The sequence below is a fragment of the Homo sapiens genome, chromosome 1, assembly GCF_000001405.40.
Source record: "Homo sapiens chromosome 1, GRCh38.p14 Primary Assembly".
In the NCBI taxonomy this organism is placed as follows: domain Eukaryota; kingdom Metazoa; phylum Chordata; class Mammalia; order Primates; family Hominidae; genus Homo; species Homo sapiens.
This window is the reverse complement of record NC_000001.11, coordinates 14,351,804-14,363,865: the sequence shown is the minus strand read 5'-3', so window position 1 is coordinate 14,363,865 and position 12,062 is coordinate 14,351,804. Positions and strand designations below refer to the sequence as shown.

Below are 12,062 nucleotides of genomic sequence, written 5' to 3'. Positions count from 1 at the left end.
CCCAAATTATTTGACCGTAGAAACCCTTTTTTGTAGGACACTACTAATATCTAGAGCAGGGGGTAACAAACTTCTTCTGTAAAGGACCAGGAAGTATTTTTGGCTTTGCAGGACACATATGGTCACTGTCTCTTGTTCTTTCTTTCTACAACCCTTTAAAAATGTTAAAGCCATCTTTTGCTTTAAGATCATAAAAAACCCAGCTGCTGGCTGGATTTGGCCCATAGGTTAAAGTTTCCTGACCCCTCTAAAGGGACAGAGTTGGAAACATGAATGGAAGGTAACTTTTGATGTATTATTTTTCACTAAGACAGTGCTGAGAAAACCTGTTTCAGAAATCCAGGAACAGAAAACCAAAATTCTGTTCATTACTTCTGTGTTCCTCCCATGTAACAAATGAGAAACTATGAAGTCTGAGCAGCCCATTGTTTGGGGTTGTGTTTCCTTGATTAGAGGGAAAATGAGTCACGGCCAGAGGGTGGGTGGGTGTGAGCCTAGCTACACTCCGTCTGGGCTGGCTGCACCTACTAGGCCCTTAGAACATCCTTCCGACTGTGAGGTGGGAGACGGAGATGTTTAAACATCATCTTGACATTTTGCAGATGATTTTCTGTCTACCAGGCTAAAGTGGATGCCTTCCAGGAGTAGTTTATAGAGATTTCAGCTATTTCAGAGTCCCCAACTGCCAACCTTAGCAAGATGATGAGGACTTTTATGGGCACTGAATTGGATTTCGTTTAAAAAATGCAACCATGGCTCCCTGGAGTGAAGCTCTGGAGCCTTCTAGAGCCAGAGAGCCAGTTCTTGAAGGTCTATATTTAAGGCAGCTGCTTCTTCATAGGAGGAGAAATGAGGTGAGATACAGCATGGGCTAGGAGACAGGATCCAAAGTTCTGTGCTGCCTTTGCCATCATGCCATTGGGGGACCTCATGGAGGCTGAGCCCCCTTCCTGCCTCAGTTTCTCTATATGTAAAATCACTCCAAAGGATGAAATAGAGACAAATATATATATTGGCAGGGTAGTGAATGAGAAAGAATATACCCCTTGGAGTCAAATAGGTCTGAGTTTGAATCCTAGATTTGCTATTTTCTTGCTGTGGGAACTTTGGCAAATATGATGTAGCCTCTTAGAAGCTTGGTTTCCTCACCTAAGAAATAGGGATACTAATTCTGATCTTAAAGTGTTGATGGGGGAATTAAGCTACACAGTCTTTATAAAGAGCCTGGAGCAATGCCTGTGTGTAATAGGGCCAGAGTATCTTAGCCTTCTAGCTGCTCTGGCAGTGAGACAGTCTCTTAAGCAGCCCTGTGATTCCTACCTCCTGGCATTCATCCTCATGTCTGATCCCCTGCCTTTGAGCATAGGCAGGACCTGTGGCTTGCTACTAACAAAATATAGTGAAGGTGTTGAAATGTTACTTCCATGATTGTGTCACATAAGATTGCAATGTTTGTCAGGCTAAGAGTCTCTCTCTTATTGGCTTTGAAAAAGCAAGTTGCCACACTGTGAGTTGCTTATGAAGAAGGCCGTATCACAAAAACTGAGGACAGACTCTCGTCAACAGCCAGCAACTGAGGCCTTTTGTCCAAGAACATGCAAGAAACTGAATGCTGCTAACAACTATGTTAACTTAGAAGTGAGTCCTTTCCCAATCAAGCCTTCAGATGAGACCCCAGCCCAAGTTGACATCTTGAATGCTGCCTTGAAGAGTGCCTGGACAGCAGACCCACAGAGACGGTGGAATAATAAATGTGAGTTGTTATAAGTCAGTAAGTTTATGGTAATATTGTCATGCAGCAATAGCTAACTAATACACTGGCTTTTGGGCAGTTTCTGAAATGTGCCATTGACCCCCTGGCTACAGGACCTTTCCTTGTTCCCATATTTGCCTTAACTTTTCCTTCTCATTATGAGGATCTCAGGCCAATAGTCTCTTCCTCAAAAAAGCCTTTCTTCACCCTACGAGGTGCTCTTATGGCAGTGGGTCTTCCTCACTGAAAACAGTAATCACGGGTAAATGACTCAAGATGGCCGAATAGGAACAACTCTGGTCTGCAGCTCCCAGTGAGATCAATCCAGAAGGTGGGTGATTTCTGCATTTCCAACTGAGGTACCTGGCTCATCTTATTGGGACTGGTCAGACAGTGGGTGCAGCCCACAGAGGATGAACAGAAGCCAAGGGAGCCGTGAGGGACTGTGCCGTGAGGCATGGTGCACTCTGGCCCAGATATTATGCTTTTCCCATGGTCTTCACAACCCACAGACCAGGAGATTCTCTCGGGTGCCTACACCACCAGGGCCCTGGGTTTCAAGCACAAAACTGGGCAGCCATTTGGGCAGACACTGAGCTAGCTGCAGTTTTTTTCATACCCTAGTGGCACCTGGAACGCCAGTGAGACAGAACTGTTCACTCCTCTGGAAGAGGGGGCTGAAGCCAGGGAGCCAAGTGGTCTTGGTTCCCACCCAAGTGCTCAGCAGGTCCCACCACCACAGAGCCCAGCAAGCTAAGATCCACTGGCTTGAAATTCTCACTGCCAGCACAGCAGTCTGAGGTTGACCTGGGATGCTAGAGGTTGGTGTGGGGAGAGGCGTCTGCCATTACTGAGGCTTGAGTAGGCGGTTTTCCCCTCACAGTGTAAACAAAGCTGCCAGGAAGTTCAGACTGGGCAGAGTACACCGCAGCTTGGCAAAGCTGCTGTAGCCAGACTGCTTTTCCAGATTCCTCCTCTCTGGGCGGAGCATCTCTGAAAGAAAGGCAGCAGCCCCAGTCGGGCCTATAGATAAAACTCCCATCTCCGTGGGACAGAGCACCTGGGGCAAGGGGCAGCTGTGCAGCTTCAGCAGACTTAAACATTCCTGCCTGCTGGCTCTGAAGAGAGCAGCCGATCTCCTAGCACAGTGCTTGAGCTCTGCTAAGGGACAGACTGCCTCCTCAAGTGGGTCCCTGACCCCCGTGCATCCTGACTGGGAGATACATCCCAGCAGGGGTTGACAGGCACCTCGTACAGGAGAGCTCCAGGTGGCATCTGGCAGGTGCCCCTCTGGGACGAAGCTTCCAGAGGAAGGAACAGACAGCAATCTTTGCTGTTCTGCAGCCTGGCTGGTGATAGCCAGGCAAAGAGGGTCTGGAGTGAACCTCCAACAAACTCCAGCAGACCTGCAGCAGAGTGGCCTGACAGTTAGAAGGAAAATTAACAAACAGGAATAGCATAACACCAAAGAAAAAGGACATCCACACAAAAACTCCTTCCGAAGGTCAGCAGCATCAAAGACCAAAGGGAGATAAATCCACGAAGATTAAAAAAAAATGCACAAAAAGGCTGAAAATTCCAAAAACCAGAATGCCTCTTCTCCTCCAAAGGATCACAGCTCCTCACCACCAATGGAACAAAACCGGATGGAGAATGAGTTTGATGAATTGACAGAAGTAGGCTTTAGAATGTGTGTAATAACAAACTCCTCCAAGCTAAAGAAGCATGTTCTAACCCAATGCAAGGAAGCTAAAAACCTTGAAAAAAGATTAGAGGAATTTCTAACTACAATAACTAGTTTATAGAAGAATGTAAATGACCTGATGGAGCTGAAAAACACAGCACAAGTACTTCGAGAATCATACACAAGTATCAATAGCTGAATTGATCAAGTGGAAGAAAGGATATCAGAGATTGAAAATAAACTTAATGAAATAAAGTTTGAAGACAAGACTAGAGAAAAAAGAATGAAAAGGAATGAACAAAGCCTCCAAGAAATATGGGATTATGTGAAAAGACCAAACCTATGTTTGATTGGTGTACCTGAAAGTGAAGGGGAGAATGGAACCAAGTTGGAAAGCTCCACTCTTCAGAATATTATCCAGGAGAACTTCCCCAACCTAGCAAGACAGGCCAACATCCAAATTCAGGAAATACAGATACCACCACAAAGATACTCCTTGAGAAGAGCAACCACAAGACATATAATCATCAGATTCACCAAGGTTGAAATGAAGGAAAAAATGTTAAGTGCAGCCAGAGAGAAAGATCAGGTTACCCACAAAGGGAAGCCCATCAGACTAACAGTGGATCTCTCTGCAGAAACCCTACAAGCCAGAAGAGAGTGAGGGCCAATATTCAACATTCTTAAAGAAAAGATATTTCAACCCAGAATTTCATATCCAGCCAAACGACGCTTCATAAGTGAAGGAGAAATAAAATCCTTTACAGACAAGCAAATGCTGAGAGATTTTGTCACCACTAGGCCTGCCTTTCAAGAGCTCCTGAAGGACTCACTAAATATGGAAAGGAAAAACCAGTACCAGCCACTGCAAAAACGTGCCAAATTGTAAAGACCATTGATGCTAGGAAGAAACTGCATCAACTAATGGGCAAAATAACCAGCTAGTGTCATAATGACAGAATCAAATTCACACATAACAATATTAACCTTAAATGTAAATGGGCTAAATGCCTCAATTAAAAGACACAGACTGGCAAGTTGGATAAAGAGTCAAGACCCATCAGTGTGCTGTATTCAGGAGACCCATCTCATGTGCAAAGACACACATAGGCTCAAAATAAAGGGATGGAGGAATATTTACCAAGCAAATGGAAAGGAGAAGGAAAAAAAAAGAAAAAAAAAGCAGGGCTTGTAATCCTAGTCTCTGATAAAACAGACTTTAAACCAACAAAGATAAAGACGAAGAAGGACGTTAGATATTGGTAAAGAGATCAATTCAACAAGAAGAGCTAACTATCCTAAATATATATGCACCCAATACAGGAGCACCCAGATTCATAAAGCAAGTTCTTAGAGACCTACAAAGAGACTTAGACTCCCACACAATAATAGTGGGAGACTTTAACACCCCACTGTCAATATTAGATCAATGAGACAGAAAATTAACAAGGATATCCAGGACTTGAACTCAGCTCTGGACCAAGCAGACCTAATACACATCTACAGAACTCTCCACCCCAAATCAAAAGAATCTACATTTTTTTCTCAGCACCACATAGCACTTATTCTAAAATTGACCACATAATTGGAAGTAAAACACTCCTCAGTAAATGCAAAAGAACAGAAATCATAACAAACAGTCTCTCAGACCACGATGCTATCAAATTAGAACTCAGGATTAAGAAACTCACTCAGAACTTCACAACTACATGGAAACTGAACAACCTACTCCTGAATGACTACTGGGTAAATAACAAAATTAAGGCAGAAATAAATAAGTTATTTGAAACCAATGAGAACAAAGACACAATGTACCAGAATCTCTGGGACACAGCTAAAGCAATGTTTAAAGGGAAATTTATAGCACTAAATGCCCACAAGAGAAAGAAGGAAAGATCTAAAATCGACACCCTAACATCACAATTAAAAGGACTAGAGAAGCAAAAGCAAACAAATTCAAAAGCTAGCAAAATACAAGAAATAACTAAAATCAGAGCAGAACTGAAGGAGATAGAGACACGAAAAACCATTTAAAAACTCAATGAATCCCTGAGCTGGTTTTTTTTTTTAAAAGATTTACAAAATAGATAGACCTCTAGCCAGACTAATAAAGAAGAAAAGAGAGAAGAATCAAATAGACACAATAAGAAATGAAACAGGGGGTATCACCACTGATCCCACAGAAATACAAACTACCATCAGAGAATGCTATAAACACCTCTATGGAAATAAACTAGAAACTCTAGAAGAAATGGGTAAATTCCTGGACACATACACCCTCCCAAGACTAAACTAGGAACAAGTTGAATCCCTGAATAGACCAATAACAAGCACTGAAATTGAGGCAGTAATAGCCTACCAACCAAAAAAAGCCCAGGAGCAGATGGATTCACAGCTGAATTCTACCAGAGGTACAAAGAGGAGTTGGTACCATTCCTTCTGAAACTATTCCAAACAATAGTAAAAGAGGGACTTCTCCCTAACTAATTTAATGAGGCCAGCTTCATCCCAATATTGAAACCTGGCAGAGACACAACTGAAAAAGAAAGTTTCAGGCTAATATCCCTGGTGAACATCAGTGCAAAAATCCTCAATAAAATACTGGCAAACCGAATCCAGCAGCACATCAAAAAACTTATCCACCATGATCAAGGTGGCTTTATCCCTGGGATGCAAGGCTGGTTCAACATACACAAATCAATAAATGTAATCCGTCACATAAACAGAACCAATGACAAAAACCACATGATTATCTCAATAGATGCAGAAATGGCCTTTGATAAAATTCAACACCGCTTCGTGCTAAAAACTCTCAATAAACTAGGTATTGATGGAACATATCTCAAAATAATAAGAGCTATTTGTGACAAACCCACAGCCAATATCATACTGAATGGGCAAAAGCTGGAAGCATTCCCTTTGAAAACCGGCACAAGACAAGGATGCCGTCTCTCACCACTTTTATTCAACATAGTATTGGAAGTTCTGGCCAGGGCAATCAGGTAAGAGAAAGAAATAAAGGGTATTCCAATAGGAAGAGAGGAAGTCAAATTGTCTCTGTTTGCAGATGACATGATTGTGTATTTAGAAAACACTATCATCTCAGCCCAAAATCTCCTTAAGCTGATAAGCAACTTCAGCAAAGTCTCAGGATACAAAATCAATATGCAAAAATCACAAGCATTCCTATACACCAATAACAGACAAACAGAGAGCCAAATCATGAGTGAACTCCTATTCACAGTTGCTACAAAGAATAAAATACCTAGAAATCCAACTTACAAGGGATGTGAAGGACTTCTTCAAGGAGAACTACAAACCACTGCTCAAGGAAATGAGAGGGCACAAACAAATGGAAAAACATTCCATGCTCATGGATAGGAAGAATCAATATCGTGAAAATGGCCATACTGCCCAAAGTAATTTATAGATTCAATGCTATCCCTATCAAGCCACCATTGACTTTCTTCACAGAATTAGAAAAAACTACTCTAAATTTCATATGGAACCAAAAAAGAGCCCGTATAGTCAAGACAATCCTAAGCAAAAAGAACAAAGCTGGAGGTATCCTGCTACCTGACTTCAAACTATACTACAAGGCTACAGTAACCAAAACAGCATGGTACCAGTACCCAAACAGATATATAGACCAATGGAACAGAACAGAGGACTCAGAAATAACGCCACACATCCACAACCATCTGATCTTTGACAAACCTGACAAAAACAAGCAATGGGGAAAGGATTCCCTATTTAATAAATGGTGTTGGGAAAACTGGCTAGCCATATGCAGAAAACTGAAACTGGACCCCTTCCTTACACCTTATACAAAAAATAACTCAAGATGGATTAAAGACTTAAATGTCAGACCTAAAACCATAAAAACCCTAGAAGAAAATCTAGGCAATCCCATTCAGGACCTAGGCATGGGCAAAAACTTCATGACTAAAACACCAAAAGCAATGGCAACAAAAGCCAAAATTGACAAATGGGATCTAATTAAACTAAAGAGCTTCTGCACAGTAAAAGAAACTATCATCAGAGTGAACAGGCAGCCTACAGAATGAAAGAAAATTTTTACAACCTATCAATCTGACAAAGGGCTAATATCCAGAATCTACAAGGAACTCAAACAAATTTACAAGAGAAAAACAACCCCATCAAAAAGTGGGCAAAGGATATGAACAGACACTTCTCAAAAGAAGACATTTATGAGGCCAACAAACACATGAAAAAAAGCTCGTCATCACTGGTCATGAGAGAAATGCAAACAAAACCACAGTGAGATACCATCTCACACCAGCTAGAATGGCAATCATTAAAAAGTCAGGAAACAACAGATGCTGGAGAGGATGTGGAGAAATAGGAACACTTTTACACCATTGGTGGGAGTGTAAATTAGTTCAACCATTGTGGAAGACAGTGTGGCATTCCTCAAGGATCTAGAACCAGAAATACCATTTGACCCAGCAATCCCATTACTGGGTATATACCCAAAGTATTATAAGTCATTCTACTATAAAGACACATGCATACATATGTTTATTGCAACACTCTTCACAATAGCAAAGACTTGGAGCCAACCCAAATGCCCATCAATGATAGACTGGATAAAGAAAATGTGGCACATATACACCATGGAATACTATGCAGCTATAAAAAAGGATGAGTTCATGTCATTTGCAGGGACATGGATGAGGCTGGAAACCATCATTCTCAGCAAACTAACACAAGAACAGAAAACCAAACACCGCATGTTCTCACTCATAAGTGCGAGTTGAACAAGGAGAACACATGGACGCAGGGAGGGAAACATCACACACCAGGGCCTGTTGGGGGTTGGGAGATTAGGGGATGGACAGCATTAGGAGAAATACCTAATGTAGATCAATGACGGGTTGATGGTTGCAGCAAACCACCATGGGACATGTATACTTATGTAACAAACCTGCACGTTCTGCACATGTATCTCAGAACTTAAAGTATAATATAAATAAATAAATAAATAAATAAATAAATAAATAAATATGTAGATTGTTCAACAACAAAAACCAGTAATGTTATAATTTTGTATTTATTTGTGTGATTACTGTGTTATTCAGGTATAATTGCATATAGTAAAATGCATAGATCTTAAGCACATAGTTTGAGCTATTTTGACAAAAGATCAATTTTGATAAATGCAATATACATATCACCCCAGAAAGTTCCTTCTTGTTCCCACCTAGTCAAGACCTCCTTGACCCAAAGCAACCATTTTCTTGATTTTTAACACTGTAATTAATTGTGTTGGTTCTGGAATTTCATATAGGTGGAATCATATAGTTTGTGCTCTTTGGTGTCGGGCTTTTTCATCAGCATGTTTTTGATACTCATCCTTGTTACAGGTATCAGCAGTTTATTTCTTTTTTTTAATTGCTCAGTAATATCCCATTGTATCAACATGCCAGTTTGTTTATCCATTCTCCTATTATTGAAGATCTATGTTGTTAACAATTTTGGACTATTATGAATAAAGTTACTATGAATATTCTTGTACAATAATTTTTCAGACATACATTTTCATTTCTCTTTGGTAAATACCTAGGAATTGCTGGGTCATAGGATAGCTGTATATATAACATTTTAAGAACATGCTAGTTTTCAAAACTGATGGGAACATTTTATACTCCCACCAACAATATATGGGTGTTCCAGTTGATCCAGGTCCTTGCCAACATTTGGCATTGTCAGGTTTGTTTGTGTGTGTGTGTGTGTGTGTGTGTGTGTGTGTGTGTGTGTGTCTAATTTAGCTATTCTAATAGATGCACAGTGGTAACTAATTTTGGTTTTAATTTGGAATTTTCCTGATGACTACTGACGTTGAGCACCTTATTATGTTCTTCTTTATCATTTATACGTCTTTTATGAACTGTCTGCTAGTCAAGTATTTTGCTCATTTGTACTGGGTTGTTTTCTTTTTATTACTGAATTATAAGCATTTTTTACATATTCTGAATACAAATTCTTTGTTGGATGTAGGCACTGTGAAAATTTTCTCTTAGCTCCTGGCTTGTCTTTTCATTTTCTTAATGGTGTCTTTTGATGAGCAAAATGTTTTAAGTTCAATTTGTCCATTTCTTTTTTTCATCCTTCTGCATCCTCTCTAAGGAACCTTTGCCTAACCTTAGATTGTGAATATATTTCCCTGTAGTTTCTTCTAAAAGACAAACATAAAAGCTGAAAGTTTTTGGCTTTTTTTAATGCAGTTTTTTTATCCAGTTGTTCTAGCACTATTTGTTAAAAAGGCTTTCAATTCCCCATTGAATTGCTGTGGCAGTCTTGTCAACCATATATGTGTCCATCTATTTCTGGACTCTTTAGTCTTTCTACAATGCCACACTGTTGTGATTACCATAACTTTATAGTTAGTTTTTAAGTCAGAGAAAGTCCTCTAACCTTGTTTTATTAAATATTGTTTTAGAAATTCTATGGCATTTGCATTTCCAAGTACATTTTAGAATCAGCTTATTTATTTCCTGGAAAAGAGCCAGCTATGATTTTGATTAGGATAGGTGGAATTTACAGATCAACTTAGGGAGAATTGATATCTTAATAATACTGAGTCCTCCAATGCAGAAGATGGCATATCTTTATACTTAGTTTTTTCATTTCTGTCATCAATATTTTATAATTTTCAATTGAAAGATCTTGACATCTTTAAAAAACTTATCCCCAAATATTTTGTAGTTTTGAATGCTATTTTAAATGATATTTTTATTTTGCTTTCCAATTGTTTCTTGCTAAAAGATAGTATTAAATTATGTTTCATATGTTAACTTTATAGCATGTGACATTGGTACATTCACTTACTACGTCTAGTAGAGTTTTTGGTAGATCCCTTCAAGTTTTCTACATAGAAAGTGACGTCGGCCGGGCGCGGTGGCTCACGCCTGTAATCCTAGCACTTTGGGAGGCCGAGGAGGGTGGATCACAATGTCAGGAGATTGAGACCATCCTAACACAGTGAAACCCCATCTCTACTAAAAATACAAAAAATTAGCCGGGCGTGGTGGCAGGCACCTGTAGTCCCAGCTATTGGGAGGCTGAGGCAGGAGAATGGCATGACCCTGGGAGGCAGAGCTTGCAGTGAGCCAAGATCGCGCCACTGCACTCCAGCCTGGGTGACACAGCCAGACTCCGTCTCAAAAAAAAAAAAAAAAAGTGATGTCATCTGTAGTGACAGCTTTATTTCTTCCTTCCTAGTTTTTATCATTTTGTTTTATTTTCCTGCCTTTTTGCACCAGCTAGGACTTTGGCCAATGATGGAAGCAAACATCCCTTGACTCGTCTCCAACTTAAGAAGAGGAGTGCTCAATATTTCAACATAAGGAGTCACGATTACTGTAGATGCTCTTTAACAGATTGAGGAAATCTCCTCCTATCCCTAGTTATGTGGATTTAAAAAATCATGAATGGGTCTAAATTTTCGGCAAATGCCTTTTCTTCATCTAGTAAAATGATCATAATCTATTTTTCTTTTAATTGGTTAATATCATAAATTTCATTAAATGATTTTCATTTGTTAAATAAACCTTGCATTCCTGGAATAAACTCCAGCCAGTCATGATGTATTATCCTTTTTAATATGTTGGTATGTAATTTTCTTATCTTGTAATGTCCTTGTTTGGATGCAATTTTTCATTTATTTGTCTGTCTATTTGATGAAAAGGTATTTGTAAGCTTCATGAGGCCTGCAATTATATCTCTTGTGCTTGCCTTTTTTTCTCTCACGTGACTAAGAATGTAAAAATAGGTTGTTGAAGGAATTACTGGATGAAAGAATATATGAGCAAATTGTTTCTGGTCATAATATGTGAAAAGTTCCTTATAAGCATTAAAGCATAAAGCATACCCAAGTATGGGTTTTATTAGTAGTAGAAGAATTAAGACTACCTTGGTGCTTTTTATAGGGTTCAGAGTATGAGGCAAAGTAATCAATTTTACTGTAGAAAATGAATTCAGAATCAGGCGGCTTTCCTCAGCTGGACTCAGGGAAGACCATATTATATTATTTCCTCTACCTAAGGGCCCTTTTAATGCTCTGTCAGTTCTCTGGAGCCAAGAGAAGTTCAGGACTTTAATATTTACTCTTACAAATGTTCATGACTCTCTCTTCCCACAGTGAAAAAAAAAATGCTGCTGATCCGATTCTGTGTCTAATTGTACATAACCATGTATGTAGATAGATGTGAAAAAATCTTTTTCATGATAAAGGCTGTTACAAGCATAAAACAATGTTTATACTTGTATGATGTATAACATTATACAAAGATTTGATACTTGAAAATATGTTGCAGCTTCAACTTACAAGAGATAACTGCAATAGAGAAATAAACACGTGTTTGTAAAATGCTACTTACCCCAATTTCACTAATTGTTAAATTTAGCATTCAAAATTTTTGTTACATTTAAAAATAATGTACATGTTTACTTTAGTTTGATTTTCTTTTTTCGCTTTGGAAGAATTCCTGGGTATATATGATTCTCTAAAAGAGCAAAAGAAACCTTAAAATAAATGAGCCACTAAGCAACTAATTACAAAAACTTTAAAAGGCATAAAAATCCTTACAAGATGTACACAGA

The 12,062-nt window shown here is 39.3% G+C and overlaps 1 protein-coding gene and 1 long non-coding RNA gene across 7 annotated transcripts in view, besides 1 other annotated feature; one reads left to right on the top strand and one right to left on the bottom strand.

Moving 5' to 3' along the window:
* Positions 1–12,062, bottom strand: part of KAZN (kazrin, periplakin interacting protein) — a 1,225,220-nt gene that overhangs the window by 754,178 nt on the left and 458,980 nt on the right. The gene's annotated exons all lie outside the window — the stretch shown is intronic.
* The window catches only part of KAZN-AS1 (KAZN antisense RNA 1), a 71,019-nt gene that overhangs the window by 56,108 nt on the left and 2,849 nt on the right, over positions 1–12,062 (top strand). The window lies entirely within an intron of this gene.
* Positions 1,206–1,406: a silencer, noted in NCBI's record as "peak78 fragment used in MPRA reporter construct". NCBI's record gives its function as "represses an SCP1 promoter by STARR-seq MPRAs in K562 erythroleukemia cells {active_cell/tissue: K562}" and the evidence as "EXISTENCE:reporter gene assay evidence [ECO:0000049][PMID:32103011]".